This window comes from Homo sapiens, chromosome 3 (genome assembly GCF_000001405.40).
Source record: "Homo sapiens chromosome 3, GRCh38.p14 Primary Assembly".
Lineage (NCBI taxonomy): Eukaryota > Metazoa > Chordata > Mammalia > Primates > Hominidae > Homo > Homo sapiens.
This window is the reverse complement of record NC_000003.12, coordinates 124,376,280-124,396,115: the sequence shown is the minus strand read 5'-3', so window position 1 is coordinate 124,396,115 and position 19,836 is coordinate 124,376,280. Positions and strand designations below refer to the sequence as shown.

The window sequence follows — 19,836 nt, the reverse complement described above, 5'->3', positions numbered from 1 at the left end:
AGCACAATCAAATCCTATTTATACAGCACCTAGGCATGGGGTTGGTTGCTGAGGGCTTGCTTAAGGCCTCATGACACTTTATCTAAGGAGCCAGTGTCCTTGACAGGGGCAGAGAACTAGATATTGATGCCAATAGAAAGGAGGCAATGGCCTGGGTAATTCTAAACAAATGAAAAATTTTAGACAGGATTTGTCTCCTTAGTTATGTTTGTTTAGGTTGATGCAGAAGGAGTTTTATTTTCTGGGCAGCAAGGAATGGTAAAAGGTCATAATTGGGTAACAGGGAACTGGTAGGACACCACCACACTTTTTTTATGTCTTCATGGGTCCAAAGTCAAACATCAGCAAAATGATCTGATTTTGCTGACTGGGGCACTGGAGGTCAGAGTTCAGCCTAAGACCAGATGTTAAATAACACTATGTTCCATAATGTCTATTTCTCTGCATGAGCAAATATGCCCTAATTCTTAATTATTTTTTACTTTTGTTTTTTTTGTCTTTTGTTAATTTTTGTTGTATTTATGTTACTTACTGATGGCTGAATAACATCCTGAATGATAAATAATTCTTTGAAACATTAAAGCTTTTCCATTTACTATTTTATTCTAGATTCAAGTTGAGTATGGTGCAGGCATTTTTACATCTTACAGATAAAGAAACCGAAGCTCACACAAGACCACAAAGCAAGATTTTGCTGAGTCAAGACTGGGACAGGACTTATCTCACGTCTAGCCCGAGGCATTTCCCACTGGAAAGCTCTGCCCATGCTGACCTGGCCTCGCTGGGCTCCCCGAGGGAGGGAGGCGCTGACCTGAGCTGCTGGATAAGGTCTTCGCCTTCCTTGATGACATTGAGTGTGGCATCTAGAGTGGCGGTCTGCTGCTGCTGGAACTGCTTGATCAGTTCCTGGACTGCATCCACAGAATCTGCACAGACATCCTCCAACATCTCCTTCTGAAGGTCTTCCATCCATGTCCACAACTGTAGAGAGAGAGCAGAGATTCCACTCAGGGAAGATGGGAGAGGCCAGGGCTGGGGTGAGGGCAAGGAAGCTAGACTGGAATCACCCAACTTACTCTCAACCAGTCAGTGCCATTCTCATCAGCACAACTATGGGTCAGTTTGTGTTTTTACATTTATATTCATCACCAGTCTTTGCTAAGTTTACTCCATTGGTGTTGACAGTCCCTAAAGACAGGAATCACCCCTGGCTTAACTTCCCTGTGGTCAGGGAAACCTACAGGTATGATCTTAGAGCAAGGAGATCAGTCATCTTTGAGACACCACTAGGAAGAACAGGAGACTAGAATGAACGAATATTATTTCATCTTTCAGAAAGGAGGAAAGGGAGTAATGTACTCTGTGCACATTGATTCCTAGAAATGTATCATAATATTGCAAATACACAAAGAATGTGGTGGTCAATAAGAACTAAATGCACATTAACTGAGCATAACCTGTACATATTCCATACTATTTTGTTCTTTTTAAAATTGCTAAATTGGTTAGAAAGCTGAATGCTAAAGATGTGGCTTATCTTAATTTCAATAAATATATGAGACATTTTCCCATAATATTCAAGATGATAAAATGCAACTAGGTATTACTGGCCAGACAACTTTAAAAGAGCAAAGTATAGTGTTTTGAACAAAATAAGCACTGGAAATGATGAGGAGTTAAAACTGAATTACTGAAAAATCATTTATTGATAGCTTTTCCTCATCATACTGAATACAGGTCTCCAGTGGCCTGCCAGAGAGCTCACTTTTGACTACTTTGAGAATTTTCATAAATGAGAGAGGGGAAGATGAGTCTGGTGTTTGCTTTGAAACCAGGAGTGTTCACCTGACTAGCAGGAAAGATAAGCTCAGGGCTCTACCAGGAAAAAAGCCAGTAGAGAGAGAAAATTGATAGATGGAGTCAGAAGATGCAGATTTTGGCTTCTGTTCCTCCCGTTACTCATGGTGCCTTTGCACAAATCACTATACCCTTCCATCTCCATGACATCATGTGTAAAGTAGGTTGGGGAAAGCACAAAATAAATTGGTTAGTTTCCATCTGATTCTAACATCTTGAAGTCTTCCCTGTTAAAAACATAGGTAAATGTCTACCTCAAGAATATTATTTCATCGAGTTGGTTCTCAGTATGGTAAATTACAATATGGCCTTTTCAATAAGGGAAGATTAAAAAAATATAGAGAGACAAAAATAGTCTTCAAGATTTTGGACAAGTTATTCTTTGTTCCTTAGATAGAGAAGCCCTAGATGCGGCAGAAGAGATTAACAGGAAGATTAATAAGCTTTGGAGGCCATGAATAAGAAAGTGTAAAGAATGTCCTTTTTGTACAGGTGAGTAACCTCCTGAGCCTTAGTTTCCTTATCTACAAAATAGGAATAATAAGATTTGCCCTGCTCACTTCAAAGACTGTGAGGACTGAACTATTTTCTTATTATTAATGCTTTAGATAAATTTATGGCAGTATTAATAAGCCTACAGCATTATGCTGATTGCTATAGGGAATGCAAATTATTATTCAGCATCCCTCACATTTATCAGCTTGCAAGTCTGGTTGTAATTAGTTCAGTTTATTTCCTTTTCAAATAAAACACCAAACAAGTTTTCCAGACCATATAAGCTGGGATACATGTTGCTGTGTGAATATGCTAATTTCAAATCAGCATAAAACCAGGACGTACAGGATATTGATAATGATAGCTTAATGTCACTTCATATTTTCTGGCTGTCGTTTTTTCTAGAGAGAAAACACATTTTCTAAGTGTATTTAAGTCTTTAGGGAAGAGATGATGGATTCTCTGAAAAAATATTGTACAGAGAGGCAGAGTTTCAGGGGCCAGGCACAGTGGTTCACACCTGCAATCCCAACACTTTGGGAGGCCAAGGTGGGCAGATCACCTGAGGTCAGGAATTCGAGACCAGTCTGGCCAACATGGCGAAACCCCATCTCTACTAAAAATACAAAAATTAGCCAGGCATGGTGGCAGGTGCCTGTAACCCCAGCTATTCAGGAAGCTGAGGCAGTGGAATTGCTTGAACCCAGGAGGCAGAGGTTGCAGTGAGCCGAGATTGTGCCACTGCACTCCAGCCTGGGGAACAGAGCAAGACTCTGTCTCCGGAAGGGGAATATCACACTCTGGGGACTGTGGTGGGGTGGGGGGAGGGGGGAGGGATAGCATTGGGAGATATACCTAATGCTAGATAACGAGTTAGTGGGTGCAGCGCACCAGCATGGCACATGTATACATATGTAACTAACCTGCACAATGTGCACATGTACCCTAAAACTTAAAGTATAATAAAAAAAAAATAAAAAAAAATACAAAAATTAGCTGGGCATGATGCCGTACACCTGTAATTCCAGCTACTTGGGAGGCTGAGGCAGGAGAATCACTTGAACCCAGGAGGCGGAGGTTGCAGTGAGCCGAGATTGCACCGCTGCACTCCAGCCTGGGTGATAGAGGGAGACTGTCTCAAAAAAAAAAAAAGAAAGAAAGAAAAGAAAATATACAATAAATTGTTAAAAAAAAAAACAAAAAAAACTCTGTCTCCAAAAAAAAAAAGTTTCAAATCCTAGTTCTACCACATATTAGCTATATAATCTTGGGTAAGTTACTTATTCTCTCTGCACCTTGGCTTTCTTTATCAGTAAAATGGGGATAATAACAGTGCTTTCCTCACAGAGAGTTGTGATAAAGATTACAAATAAGTTGATATATGTGTGTATACACAAATATATTATCTATCTTACTTATCAACAGTGTCTGACATATAGTCAATACTTATCAGTGCTACATATTATTACATTTAAAATATAGTTTTAGCTTAGACAACATGGTAAGACCCAGCATCTATAAAAAAATTTTTTTAAAAAACACAAAAATTAGCTGGGCATGTTGGCACATGCCTGTAGCCCCAGCTACTTAGGAGGCTGAGGCGGGAGGATTGCTTGTTCCCAGCAGGTCAAGACTGCAGTGAGCTGTGATTGTGCCACTGCACTCCACCTGGGTGACAGAGCAAGACTCTGTCTCAAAAAAAAAAGAAAAAGGAAAAAAAAGATATTTTTGTTGCAAGCCATCTCCAGTTCCCACTAGAGGGCAAAGGGAAAGTTTGAAGTAGTCCTTCATTTTGGAGTTTGTATAAGATCAACATTGAATTTGGTCCTTCAAGATACTAGACTGGGCTGGGCCTCTCTATTCCGTTTTTGCCACTTTGTCTCAGGATAACCGAGGAAAGCCTAGAAACTAAAAAGTCTTGATAGTTCTAAAAGAAAAATAGATGTAAAGAGAGAGAGGTGAAATTGTGGACATGGTGCACACAGTCACTGCCTGGTGGCAGCAAACTTAAATTGCAAGCTCATAATTTTGAATAAGCACCTCTGAGATTTAGCACCATAAGGTAGATAGAAATAAAAGTTGGTGCTACTAAACCATGAGTAGAGTCAATATCCCATTTATTAGGCTGTAATTTTTCTATCTCTCTCAATGTCCCAAAGGTTTCCTCTATGTATGTCCCTCCGATTTAGCGCTGAAGAACATGCTTTGAAAAGAGTCCAAATTAGAGAGACACTTCTGCTACTACTTCACTGATTATTAAGCAGTCAGTGACATCCAGCCAGAACGATCTTTTCTGTCAAGCTACTACAAGCCAATGTCTGCTGGAACTAATTAGGTAAAATCATGGAGTGAGTGAGGTAGCTTGGCAGCAGCAACCACGCGTGTTTTTTCCCCCACTGTCTTCCACGTTGGTTTCTCTCCCTTGGGTGATCTTCTTTACTTTCTGCTTATCTAAGGTTTAACATTATAGCACTGTACCTTCTTCACCAACCCACCCCCTCCCCAGAAAAGAAAAATCCCATGTTTCAGCCATTTCCAGACCCTCTCTTCTTGATCAAAATATATGTATACTATGACCCTTCTTTTAGAGTCCCGCTCACTTCTTGGCAATGGTTGCTTGCTCCATGCTGATATATACATGTAGATGGTTTTGTGCATTCTTTCTTACAGAAACACATGTAGTTGTGGCCAAAAATATCTACATCCAAAAGAATGGGTCCAATTTGAGAATTTCTAGAACCTTGATAGGGGAACAGTTAAAGGAGCCTTTCCATGCCCTACATAAGATTAGCTCTAATAGTGAACCAGTGAGTTCAGCTAGGGCCAGCCCACAGACCCTCTCCTGCTTGCATAATGGGGCAGCCTGAGAAAGCGGCAACTGAAAAAGACAGGAAGGAAGGAGACAAGAGAGGAAGAGCCTAGGAGGTTTGTAAGAAAAATAACAAGGCTTACGGATGAGTGGTTAAGGAAAGAGGTCATTTAATTTCATCACTTTCTCCTGCTGATTGGCTGTTTCATTTGCACAGCTTGGGCAGCCACTGTGCTGACAACAATTGATTAACAATAATGATATCAACAATCCTTAAGGATGTTGAAAGGCACACCATATCCACCTGGTGAACCTCCTCTTCCCTCATTTTGAAAAGATAATTTTTCCTGGACATCAACCACCAGCTTGTTTCTTAAATAAACAGTACAACAGTACAGCAAGTAAAATAGAGGATAAGGCTATTTTTGTTCTTAAAGCCATCATCTCTCTTGAAGACCAATTTAGTTTTGGTTCCAGAGTTGGCGGATAGAGGAGCATGTGTATATGGGAGTGTCTGTGGTATGTTTGTACCTATTTGAGTAGGAAATGGTGTGGCAGAATGATTCCACAAGGTGAAACAAATATAAGTGGGTATTTAATTAAGCTGTCTAATAAAGAGCAGAGGCTGGTTACTTTGGCCATGTTCCTTATTTAACTTGACTTATATTTATACTACAAAAATATCTAAAAACGGGTATTTTGAAAGCCCAGTGACTACAGCATTTCCATGGAAACACAGCAAGGAAAGAGAATTCTGTGATGACAATTTCTGCAGGGCAGGTGCTACAAATGCCATGTTCCTGGACAAAAAGAATGAGGACTCGGGTCAATGCTTCTCCCAAACTTGCTCTAGCTCTCCAGACCAGAAAACAAAGCTGGCTGCCCTCTTGGCCCCAGGCAAAAAGAATGTATTTAAGTTCAGCATGATTTGTACTAGTAGTGGAGGCTCTGGATGTATAAGAAAGTCCCAAGTACATGTTTGTTGCCTTTCTTTTTTAAGTAGCTTTTCTCTATAAGTAGGGATGAATAGTTTTGCTTTTGAAAAATAACATTTATTGGATTGTTCCTGATTATGAATTTAAAATATCATTGAAGAAATCTTGCAAAACAAAAAAAAGCCAAAAAATTAAATCTCCCATATCAATCTTAAATTCTTGGCATATTTACTTCTGGTAAATATTACTTCTGGTCCTTATTCTATATGTGTTATTGAAATTGTGTTGTACTGGATATACAGTTTTTATATATTATACCACAAGCTCTTCCTCATGTCATTAATAATCTTCGGCAATGTGATTTAGAATGACTGTGTAATATTTTACTATATAAATGCATTATGATTTGTTTAACGAAATCACCCAATGTGAAACATTTAGATGGTCTCTAATTATTCAAGATTATGACTAACACTGTGATGAAACAGTTAGACATTTTTAACCCTCTCGGCTCCTACAATAAATAAAGAATTCAAGAGGCCAATAGGATTAAGCAGACTTGAATTTGTAGAAGAAATGAGCCTGGAGGTTATCTTTTTATATCTTCCTCCTGTTTCCTCTCTGATACTCATTAGAGTAAATCTTTTGATGTGGAAAGTTGGCAAAAGTAAAATTATGAACTTTAGCCTGGGGAGTCCTAGGAAGTCTAGGTTAAATCATTTATAAAGGTGGATATTCACTTCCCACTTAGAAATCTCCTACAAAAGGGGCTTTCATTCCCTGAAAATTATAGACTATGAGGACATTCTTTTACAAATTGGCACCAAGGCAAAAACTCTGCAAATTATTATAGGAAGGAAGAAATGGAGGAAGGAAAGAAAGAAGGAGGAAGATAGCCATAATGAGGCAGAAATGATTTATAACAGTATTTATCAGCAGTACCGAAGGCCACTTTAGCAAAAGTTGAGCAGATTTTCCTTCTATTCACTCTATTCACGGTAAGAAGGAAAAGCAACCACAGCAACTCAAAATTCCCTAACAGACTACTAATCCTGTCTTGAATAAAAAGCCAGAACTTTGCCTATAGAGTCAAGAGGAAGGAGTCAAGAGTTAATGAACTCAGGATCAAATAGGACCCATACTTAGTGATGTTTAAGAGGTGATGAGTCTTGAGAGGTATTAAACAGAGTATGGAAAAACCAAACCACAGGAGTTCTTCCATGAGACCATTCAAGGATGCTCATTTCTGTCTTCTAATAATCCATTTTTGCCTGCTATATATAGGTCCTAAAGGAAAGCTCCCCTCAGCAAGTTAGATTCCCCACCCAGCCTCTCTTATTTACAATATCTGGAGAGCTCAAGTCAAAGAACTGCAGTAGATTAAAATGTGATTGAAGGGACTCTTCCCTCATTTTTCTTCTTCTTTTTCTTTTACTTTTCTTAGGAGAGACTAGCTTCCCATTGTCAAGTAAACCCATTTATTCAATACTTATTGAGCACCTCTGTGTATCAGACACAGTAGTATCTCTAGCTACACATCTAATGCCACGTGTGTACTACACATATTAGCACTCCCAATTTAGTGAAGGAGAGAATCACAGCTCAGTGTGAGGTATATACAGTGCTCTGCTCTTGTCTGGGTGAAAGTTGGAAGCACCCATGAAGAAGTTCAAGAAAAAAAAAATGATGTCTAAGTTGAGTCTTTAAGTTCCTAATTTATTAAAGAAACTTTAAAGAAACTTCCTACTTTAAAGAAACACTAAGAAAAATTTGGGAGGAAGTTTCCTACTAGGAAAAAAAATGAGTGTTGTAATAGTCATCCTCATAATTATTACAAAGCAACAGAGATTAAGAGTAATTCTCCCAAAGGCACAAAGCATAAGAAAATAGATCTGGAAATCAGACCTACCTGGCATCCAAGATCTTGCTGTACTTAGTGTGTGGGAACATTTGCATGTGTGTGTACACATATATGTGCATGTGTACACATATACATGTACATATACATATATGTGCATGTATACATACACACACACCTTATTTTCTACCCTGCCTAGCAAATCACTTAAAGGGGACCTCATACAGACTGGTTTGGATGGGAAGGTGACCAAGAGGGAACATGCAGATACAAAGTCCCACTGCATGTCCCCTGGAACAGCTCCTCTGTGACAGCCACTCAAAATGTTGCTTTTCTGTCCATCCTGAAAAAAAAAATAAAATCTGTATGATCAGAGAGTTGTAGATGTCTTGAATAGAATGAGCCTCATAACCATAAACCCCTTTGTATACAGGCAGGGCTGCTCTAAATTTCTCTCGTATTTTGGGACTGAGGAGAAAGAGACTATGCAATTTCCTGATAGCCTCCTGTTTGAATGAATTCTCTGATGGAAAAAAAAAATTCATTCAAGTCTCTGTTTACTAGCCTTTATATAAAAGTCTTTGTGGCAAAGGAGAAAAAAGCATGGCCTTTAGAGTCAGAAAGACCTGGGGTCAATTTCCGTACTTACTACAACCTAGCTATAAAACCATGGGCAAATTATTAATTTTTCTGAACTTTGGTTTTCCCATTTGTAAAACTGGAATTTTAAAAAACGAGAATTATCATGGCTATGAACTAGATAGCCAGATAGCCTAGCACATGGTTTGTGCTAAATAAATTTCAGTTCTTTCTCTTTCTTCACCTGCCCCCTGTATCACACCACTCCTTCTAGTAGTATTTCACATGAATGTGACTTTATAGCTGAGTTCCAGTGAGGAAACAAGTCTCAGGTTCAAACACGACCAAGCTTAGCAAGATTTGAGAGATATCCGGGAAAACAATAGTCAATAACTTCCTGACTATTCCTGTCTCCCACACACCCAATCCTGGCAACACTGTGTATTTCTCAGCCAAGATCTGTCCTACCCATTAAGCCCCTGATTTGGGGTTTAGAAATGCAAAAAAGAAAAATAAAAGTAAGGAGAAGGAAGAACAGAGGAGAGGAGATAGAAAAGGAAAAAAACAAGAGTGTAGGTAATAGGAAGACAGGTAAAATATCTGCTGTACTACTGAGAAAGTCTGTAACCTTAGAAAAGTTATTTTCTGAGGCTTAGTCTCCTCATTTAAAAATGTGTTTAATAAAATCTATATCATAAGATTATCATGAAGGTTACATGAGATGGTATATGTGTCTGGCAAGTAATAGGTGTCCATTTAAAAAACTCATGTAATATATTTTGAGTGCTTACAATAAACCAAATCTTAGGCTTGGTAAATCACCTATACTACTTCAGCTTAATTATTATTATTATTTATTATCACTACCAATAGCAAATAAAGAAGAAGAGAAGAAGAATGAAATCTTGGATTCACATTAGAACCATAAGGGGCCTTAGGGCCAAGTCCAACTGCATAATTTTATAGATAAGGAAACCCAAGGCCAGGGACATAGTGACTTGCACAAGCTCATATGGTTCTTTAGCAGCAGAATCTGGTCTAGAATCCCAGCCTACTAGCTCTGTGTATAGCAGGTGGGAGATGTAGCTAGAGGAATTCCTGGAAGCCATGGTCACTCTTTTGGGAGTGGTAGTTCCATGGAAACTGACCCCGGTCCACCACTTCTCCATGCAGCCAGCACCACCGCAGCCCTCATGAGGAACATGACTCCTGTTCATTCATACTCCATTCCATCACCTACAGGCTCATAATTAAAAGGGAATACACATGGCTTTGGTTTCTGAGACTTTCATTAAGAATTGGGTGAGCCACTATCAAGCAGAGAACCAGGCAGGAAACCCTGGATTAATGCTAATCCCCTTGTTTTATAGACACTCATCAGAGAGTGGCTGCAGGTCCCGCAGAGAGGAAGCAAATCCAGCTTCAGGGAGCTTGCCAGCCCTTCATCTGCCTGGGGAATCTCAGTTTAGAGAACACTATCTTTTCATGTTTTTCTCTGACAGGCGCTGCAATGGTTTGCATTCATTCCCTCAGTGTCAGAAAAGGCTGTGAAGCAGTAACAACCAAGATTCTTAATGCATTCCCAATATTAAAATTCAACTTAATTAAGTAGGGCTATTTTTTTTTTCCTGAGCAGCAATCAAACTTTAATTAATACTCTATTAAAGGGAATTCCTGGGGGGGGACACAAGCATGCATACACCTAATGAGTTCATCTGCCAAGGCTGTTATTAGAGATGATGCTAAATGTGCCTCCTTACTGGCCACTTATTCAATTTCAGCATGTCCCATGTTAATCAGAAATGAAAAGCAATCATAGGTTTGCAACCATCCTCCTCTCTATGGGGCCCCTCTGCTCTTGCCGCAGCTTAACATAATCTATCCTTCCTTCTCCTTTCTCCACTTGGTGAATTATTCAGGCTGGGCTTCAAGCCCAGCCAGCTTCCTTGGTGGAGGGCATCTCAGTCCCCCTTCTTTCAATGCCTGTCACTCCACAGTCAGGCAAAGTGAGGACCAACTTTAATATCACCCTGCCACAGACCTCATTAAGAAGATTAAATCCCCTGTTAAAAAATAAAATAAAAACACAGAAAAAACACATCTGTAAACTCTACATGTTCCTTGCTGGTAGTCCTACAAGTTCTGTGGGACTCTCATTTCTGACAGGAAACAGCAACCAAGAGAAATTGGGTGTGTAGTGGGAAGAGAGTCTGTGATCCTCTTACATTTCTTCTTGCAGTGACTATTGCTATATCAGGGATTCCCACATTTCTCCAGCTGCAGATTGCATGCTCTAGCAGATGCCCCGAAAACCACCTGTCTCCATGACCCCTTTTCCTCACTAGATATTATAGGAGGAAATTTTGCCCCATTCGGAGAGACCTAAATGCAGGCTATCAGGAATGAATTGTTAATATTACCAAAGTTAGGAAGTTAGTAACCCCCAGACTACCCAGGACCCTGGTCAGACCTTCAGGGCCATTTTACTAGGAAGCCGACCTGACCCTGGCAGGACAGAATGCCCTCTCTCCACTAGCTCCCCTTACCTCTTTGGTGTGTGTGTGGAAGGAAACAGACATGTCCAGGAGAAGCTTCCGCTGCTCCACCCTGCGCACGAAGTCTTGGATGCGCACCTCCAGGTGTCGAGCTGCCTTGTAGATCTCCTCGGGGTCACATTCCCCCGTCTGAGCCAACTGCTCTGCTGCTTCTAGGAGCTTGTCCGCATTGGTGTACGTATTCTGCCAGCAACAACAGTGAGGCAAAGTCAAGTTGCAGTCGCGCCTTCCAGCAGCCCACCCTGGGGCTCCCCGGAGCTGAAGCGGAGGGGCGTGGGCGCTGAGCTGACAGCTCCCTGATCTGGCACTGAGGCGCGGTGCGCGGAGCTGGCACGCCGCCTCTCAGCAAGCGAGCAGCCTGCAGGCGGGCACCAGCTAGGTGCCTCATCCACCCCTGGGATTTCTCAGAGGTGCAGTGTCCCTGGAAAGAAGTGGGGAGAGCGTAGAGAACCTCCATACCCCAGCTGCTCCCTATCCCCTACCTTCAAGAAAACCCATCACTGCCCTCACATCTCAGGCTGTAACTGCCAGGATCAGAAATAGCACACCCACAAAGACGGTCTGTATTTCCATGTGAGAACACCAGAAAAACACTAAGTGGGAGACTCACTTTGCTTTTCTCCTCAAGTTCCCTGTAACCACTGGTGTTTATCTTTTTGGAACAGAGCTATTTCTTTGGAGGGGAAGGGATCAGCAACTCTAGGGAGCTGACAGAAGGCAGCGGCCACAGCCAGAGGGAGGAGATGCAGGCTACTCCCTGCGGGCCCAGGGAATGTTTGCAGGAAGGTTGGGGAAGAGTCTGGTGATTTTGTTTATCATAAGCTACTGCATGCACACACATGCACACACAGTCGTCCAACTCCCTATCTGTACACACCATGGTATTCTCCAGAGCATTTTAAAAGGCAACCGACTTGTAATTATTATTCATCAGGATGGGAGCCACTGCCTTTAGAATAGTTACTACATTATTTGCCGCAGATACAGCTTTTCCTCAGCAGGCTTCTCATTTTGAAAGTCTCCTGATATGTCCTGACTTAGAGCTGGTGACTCAGGTGTACATATATTTCTAAGTATCCCTAGAGTTGGCACAAAACTCTAGAGTGGCGAACAAGCAGAGCAGTCAGTATCAAACACAAAGTGAGTGGAGAATTGAAATGGATTCATGAGCAATGACTCTCTGGTGCTTTGTTTTGCTTATGGAGACAGGGTCTCCGTGTCTGTAAGGAGTGTTTTGGGCTCACTTGAAGACCTGGGTGCTATGGACTGAACTGTGCCCCCCACTCAAATTCACATGTTGAACTCCTAATCCCCAGTATCTCAGAATGTGACCTTCCTTGGAAACAGGATAATTGTAGACGTAATTAGTTACATTAAGTTTAAATCATACTATAGTAGGATAGATCCCTAATCCAATATGACTGGTGTCCTTATTTAAAAAAAAATGCCATGTGAAGAGACAGACATGCACACAGGGACAATGCTATGTGAAGATGAACGAAGAAACTGGGAGATGTATCTACAAGGCTAAGAATGCTAAAGACTGCCAGAAAACTACTAAAAGTTGAGAAAAAGGCACAGGGTAGATTTCTCCCTCATATTCCTCAGAAAGAACTAGCTCTGCTGACACTTTGATCTCAAATGTCTAGCTTCCAGAACTGTGAGAAAACAAATTGTTGTTATCTAAGTCACAGTCTCGTGGTGCTTTGTTACAACAGCCCCAGGAAACTGAGACGCTAGGGTTGAAACTTTCAGAGGCTGTGGAGCCAGCCTCTTGATTGTACTGGCATAGGACCTGGGGAAGATGGGCAGGCAAACACTTGTCTTGGCTTCTAGGAATTTGGAGAGAGGCCTCAGGGGATCCATAAGGAATCCTGCTTGAAAAGCAACTTCCCAAGGTAAACATCGTTCCAATGCTGGTGAGACCGGGTTGAAAAAGAGAAAAAGTCATTTACATTGTCCCAATGCTCCCAACACAGGGTTGAAAAAGAGGAAAAATCACTTGGCCCCAACTGGGAAATTCATGGAAAAACAGCAGCTTCATATGAGGAAAGTAGTTTTGCCACTGGGTTAAAGCAGGGTATGTCAATTCTGGAAAGCAGATGAAGGAAGTCATCCACTCATGAGAGACATGCAGGGAGACAAGGGGAATGACAGGCAAGGGTAGACCTCTACGGCTGTAGGTCAGGTTAAAGAAAGCTCTTATGGGATTGCCCACAATTTCTAGTCTATATGCCCACAGCTGATGGGAGAGAGGTATTTTAGGAATCCCTCAAATTGTCCACCTTTAATCCTAAAGAGTCTCAGGATTCCCCCCGCAAGAACCCTAGAGATTGTAGCTTTATATTCTGTAGACAATAAATAAAAATTTGTGGCAAAGTCAAAGTGAGCTTGCTTGCAAATTAGGTTTGGGACCAATAAGAGATAAATAAAAAGCCAAACTGAACTGTCTACCACACGTAAGGTGATCAATTTGTCCCAGGATTTTCCTGGTTTTAGCATAGAAATTCCTGTGTCCCAGAAATCCCCTCGGTCCTGGGAAAATTGGGATGGCTGATTGCTATAATACATACCCAATATTGTAAGCACCCCAAAAGTACAGATAAATATATAATGTATTTTGTCTCAAAGAAGAATTAAAATCATTCTTGAGAGAAATAACATGACAATACATAAGATGGGGCAGGCAGCAAACTAATAGATAATTAGGGGTTAAAATTTCTTGATACGATATAGATGCTGAAGAAAAGGAGTAAAAACAGAATAATAGTAGCTAATTATTATTAAATATTTCGCACATGACAAGGATTGTTCTAAAGGATTTTATGCATGCTATCTCCTTTAATCCTCGCAATAACCCTATGAAGTTGATGCAGCCATCATACCCATTTTACAGATGAAGAAACTGAGGTACAAAGAATTTCGGGCCAAAGTCACATGGCCAGTAAGTGGCAGAACCAGGATTAAAACCCTGTTGGCAGGCTTCAGAGCCCAAGCAACAACCCATTAAATTACCCTGCCTCTATAAGAATATAGGCAGGAGTCTGAGGATGGGTAGGATTTAGTAGAGAGGGAGAAGGGCTTCTCATAGCCAAGCCTGTCTTCTTTCTGCACCCAGGGTACTCTATATTTAGCCCACCCCACAGCCATCATCACACTTTATAGTAACAATGTATCTCCATGGTATCTCCCTACTGGTCTGTGAGCTCCTTAAAGGCAGTTTCCATGTCTTACTCATCCTTGGTTCCCCCATGCCAAGTGCTGTGGCTGGTATGCAATAGGCATTTACTAAATGTTTGTTGAACAAACAAGACACAAATGAGTAGGCCTGTTTGAATAAGTTGAGTCAACCTGACTAAAATTGGAGAGTGGCAAAAAATCAGGTTGGATAAGTCAGTGAAGAGCTATAAGATACATTTTATAGAGAGAATGGAACAATAAAGACAGGTGGGAAGGCAATGGGGTCAGTGTTAAAGCTGGGCCCTCAGCTTTGTCTCTGCCCAGCTCTCTTCCCCATTACTAGTAGAAAAGAGTTTCTAAAATTCAGACCCAATCACAACTGTCTTCTACTTAAAACTGTTCAGTGGCTTCCCACTGCCTTTGGGGTAAAATGTCTTGACACGGTGTGCAATGCCCTTCTTCACCTGACACTTTTTCCCTTCAGCTTCAACCCACATCACTTCCCTACAAACAGCCTATGAAGTAAATTACTTGCATCCCCCAAAACTCACTGCACTGAATCTTGCCTCTGTGCCTTTGCACATATTCTTCTTCAGCCTGAGATGCCCTTCCCTTCACTCTTCTATTTGACCAACTCTTATTCATTCTTTAAGACCCAGCAAGGGCATTGCTTCTTCTAGGAAGTCCACCCTCATATCCTCTTCTCTCCCAAGGCTAGCTTATGTGCCCTCCTCTGGACTCCTAGATTGATCTATACCAACCCTCTCCATGGTACCTGCTACTTTCTAGTGCAAATTTTTGTCTTTCTCATCTGCTTAGGGGCAGATAATGTCTTTCATCTCTTTCCCTTAGTGTCTGGCACCTAGTAAGTCTCCATAGATATTTAGTAAATGAATGAATGATTTAAAGACGATATCAACCTCCACCAATGTTAATATTCAACCCTCACTCCTCATCAACTACCTGGTACAAGACCTTACATGCTAGAATTCATGTTCAATGTTCAATTTTATTTGGTATATCCTACCTCCTGGCACAGCCTTGAAATAGAAATGTGTACAGAAAATATCAACTAAAGTATTACCAAAGCAATACTTTGACTCTTGTCAATACCCCCAAATTGGGGCAAGGATCACAACAGGTTTCTGCTCACTTTCTGACCAAATCAACAACAGCTTTTGACTCAAAGCCAGAGTCTGACCTTGCTCTGAACATATTTCCTAGGCATTCTTTGGTTTCCCAGTCTCCTAGTCTCTGCCTTGGACTTGACCCCTTATTGACATTTCCCAACAGATATGCCAAAAATGGGTTATGAGTGCTGGTGTATAGATCCCTCAGCTGTTGGAGCTTTCAGGTAGGACCTGTGGTAGACAGAGCCCCTCATTCAGAGATATGGGCCACACTGATGGCTACAGTTCCTGTTCTTCCCTCTCCAACACCCCATGACTGTGTCAACCAGGTATGATGCCCTAAATAATTCAGCCCTTAAGTCTAACTTCAAACACTCTGCTGAAGCCTTGGCCCATTACTTTTAAATTTTCTCCCCAGGGAAGAAACAGAACATTCTAGGATAATTTGTCTCTGAATTCCAGCAATACAGGTATGTTTTCAGATTCCCTGGGCTGAGGCGGAGAAGCAGGAAGCAGGCTTTTTAAAGGCAAGGGGTGGGAGAGACAGTGAATAAAAACACTCTAGAATCAAGAGGCTACTTCCTTGGTAATATGAAGTGAGAATCTTGGCTTTATACCTGGGAATGAGGAGGATGAGGCCTGAAAGTCACCCTTACTATTCAAAAGAGGCAATGTAGATTGAAGAATGAGACTACCAGAGGAGTAGGAGAAAATGCCCCTCACAGTGGTTATTTTTTTCAGGCCAGCATGGCTGAAACCAATACGTAATGAGATGAAAGGAAAAAAAATATGTAAGCATTAAAGACAAAGGAGACACAAAAGCATAGGCATTGGGGAGGGCAGCAATCAAGATAACACCCAAAACCTTACATTTGAATAGTACTTTACAGCTGACAAATCTCTTTCACCTTCCTTCTTTACCCTCTCTGGGGCAGACCTGCAAAGAATCCATGTGTGAGGAAACTACCTGAGGCTAGAGAAAGAACCATCTGAAAGAATTAGAGATAACAGTGCCTAGCACTCATACAGTTAGAAATAGCACCTGCTCCCACCAGTCAGCCTGGAAAACCTCATGGTTCATGGGATGTTGGATGGAGTACCCAGAAGGGTCAGAAGGGTAAATAAGTAGACTTAGAATGAGAACTGCTCTGGTCCTGCCTAGTACATTTTAAGAGAACGACCTGAACAGATCAATTTTTTTCCATGTAACTTTATTGTGTCTCAGAATAAAGCTTAAGAATATTTATAGGAATATAGAAATATCCACAACTGACAAGGTAAAACTCACGATGTCTGGTATCTAGTAAAAAATTACCAGGCGTGCACATAATCAGGAAAATCTCACCTATGAGAAGGAGAAAAATCAATCAATGAAAACTGACCCAGAGCTGAAATAGATGTTAAGATTAGCAGACAAGTATTTTAAAATGGTTATTATAATTGTATTCCATATGTTCAGATAGTTAAGAAATAAAAAAATTTTTAAAAAATCCCTTGTACTTTTAAAGATGAAAAACATTAGACTGTATTAACAGTAGGTTAGGCTTTGCAGAAGATAAAATGACTGAACTTGAAAACTGCAATAGTAAGTATTTAAACTAAAATACTGAGAGAAAAAATTAATTTTAAAAATAAAGCATCTGTGAGCTATGGGATAACTTCAGACAGGCCAATATCCATGTAATTGAGATTCCCTAGGAGAAGAGGAGGGTATTGGAAAAGATACCTAAAGATATAATGACCAAGAAGTTTTCAAATATAACAAAAACTATAAATCCAAGAAACCCAACAAACCCTCAACACAAGAAACACAAAGAAAACTACACCAAGGAACATAAAAATAAAATAAAGTGGCAAAAAAGGGAAAGAAAAGAAAATCTTTAAAGTAGACAGAGGAAAAAAAGACAAGCTATATACAGAGGAACAAAGATAAGGATGATAGCAGACTTGTTATTGGAAACAGTGCAAGCAGACAGTGGAGCAACATCTTTAAAGTACTAAAAGAAACAAAACAAAACAAATAAAAAAAAAAACAAAACCTGGGAATTCTGTGCCCAGCACAAGTATTTTCAAAAACAAAAGTGAAATAAAGACTTTTTCAGATATACAAAGATGAAAGAATTCTTCACTAGCAGATTTGCAAGACAAGAAATGTTAAAAGAAGTCCTTCAGGAAGAAAGAAAATGGTATCAGATGGAAATACAGATCCATACACAGGAATCAAGAGCACTGGAAATACTACAAGGGTAAATAAGGTTTTTTTCCTCTTATTATTTGAATCTATTTAAAAATAATTGATTGTTTAAAAACTAATGATAACAATGTAGTGTGGGATTTATGGTACATATATAAGTAAGGTATATGACAACAGCACAAAGACCAGGAAGGGAGGGATGGAAGTATACTATTGTAAGGTTCCTATACTTTATGTAAAGTGGTATAATACCACTTGAAGGTAAACTGTGATAAGTTAAAATACTATAAACCCTAAGGCAACCATTAAAATAATAAAGAGTTATAGTTGATCAGCCAACAAAGGAAGTCAAATGGGATCATAAAAATATTAAATTAATCCAAAAAAGCAAAAAAAGGGAGGAAAAGCAACAGATGAAACAAATAGAAAAGAAAAAAACAAGGTGATAGATTTAAATCTAAACATATCAGCAATCACATTAAATATAAATTGTCTAAATAACACAATCAAAAGGCAGAGATTGTCAGATTAGATAAAAAAGCAAGTCCCAATTATATGCTGTCTACAGGGAATGCACTATAAGTACAAAGACACAAGTAGGGTAAGAGTAAAAGGACAGAAAAAGATACAGCATGATAACACTAGCCAGAAAAAAAGCTGGGTGGCTATATTAATATCAGACGTAGTAGATTGCAGAGTGAATAACATTACCAGGAAAAAATGAATAATATTATCATTTGATAATGATCAAGGGGTCAATTCATCAAGAGGATGTAATAACCCTAAACAGTTATGCTTCTATCAACAAAAGTTCAAACTATGTAAAGACTGATTAAACCCACAAGGAGAAATAGAGAAATCCATAATTATAGTCAGAGATTCTATGCCCCCTCTCAGTAATTAATAGAACAAGTAGACAGGAAATTTGTAAGGATATAGATTTGAACACTCTCAACCAACGTGGTCTGACATTTGTAGGACACTCCACCCCCACCCCAACAGCTGAACGCATATTCTTTTCAAGTGCTCACAGAATATTTACCAAGATAAACCATATTCTCAGCCATAGAATGAGTCTCAACAAAGTTAAAGAGATGCAAGTCATACAACATATTTTCTCTGACTATAATGTAATTAAATTAGAAATCAGTAACAGAAATATTACCAGAATACTCACAAATTATTGGAAACTAAATAACACATATCTAAATAACCCATAGGTCAAAGAAGGTGGCATCAGTTAACCAGGTGTCCATAGTATGCTATGCATTGTGTTAGGTTCTTTATCGACATTATCTGTAAGCATTGGGATCAATCATAAGATAGGTATTATTAATTTCATTTTACAAATGAGAAAACTGAGGCTCAGAGACGTAAAATAACTTGTTTAAACAATGTTTTATAACTAGAAAATGGCAAGCCGAGTCTCTCTAACTATAACTTCCAGTACTTTTCACTGAAACATGTACTTCTCCAAAACTCACTATAAAATCTCCAGCTCTTCTGCTTCTTTATTACTTTGAATTACATTCATTCTTGGGCCTTTGGTTTTTAAATTATGACATTGTAATTGTGCACGTGCAACAGCCTTTTTTTTTCTTTTGCAATACACTCCTTTTGTGTGCATGTTGTCTTCTAAGGAGAATTGTATTCACTTTAAAGGAAAGAGTCCATCTTACTCATCTTTTCTATCTCAACTATTCCTCGATGTACCTAGTGGGCATAGTGCTCTCCTTTCAATAGTCACTCAACCCAAAAACTCTGCAGTTCAGCAGCTTGTCAGCAGTAAGGTGTCACATTTCCCAGTTCCATTTAGCACTCAGAATGTGTTTGCCATGTAAATGAAGGTTAGGATCCCAGGATAAAATAAAGCAATTCAGTTGAGCACATAATAGGTTTAAAATATAGTACTGACATAGCACATTGTCTATGATTAAGGAGGGTGATATAGAAAAATGCTTTTCAGTTTTCATCCTAGAACTCCAGGAATATATTTCTCCTCCATCTGTTGGCTCTTGTAGTGGGGAAGGGGATGAATTCTGGGAATGGCAAAGTGGTCTTTGGTGGAAAGAAGTAAGAAGAAACAGAGGAAATTACTTCTGGGTACCAGTGATGGTTTGACCCACCACATTACAACTGCTGAAAGAACAATATCTTCTTAGGTGCCCTGAATAAGGGAACAAGTAAGTTCCCTCCATTAGAACAACTTTATGTCCAAATAAGAAGTGTCTAAGGAGTACCCTA

At 39.9% G+C, this 19,836-nt stretch overlaps 1 protein-coding gene across 40 annotated transcripts in view; it reads right to left on the bottom strand.

The window, feature by feature from the left end:
• KALRN (kalirin RhoGEF kinase) overlaps positions 1-19,836 on the bottom strand; it is a 692,957-nt gene that overhangs the window by 330,210 nt on the left and 342,911 nt on the right. For 24 of the 40 annotated variants that reach the window (XM_006713810.4, XM_017007429.2, XM_011513279.3 and 21 more), the window contains 2 exons: positions 11,080-11,271; positions 773-981 (listed from right to left, as the gene is read on the bottom strand). In XM_006713810.4, the coding sequence (XP_006713873.1) occupies positions 773-981; positions 11,080-11,271 (401 nt within the window). Of the gene's footprint in view, positions 1-772; positions 982-11,079; positions 11,289-19,836 lie in introns of those variants that run through there. The other 16 variants (XM_006713812.4, XM_047449159.1, XM_006713813.4 and 13 more) reach the window with 3 other exon arrangements.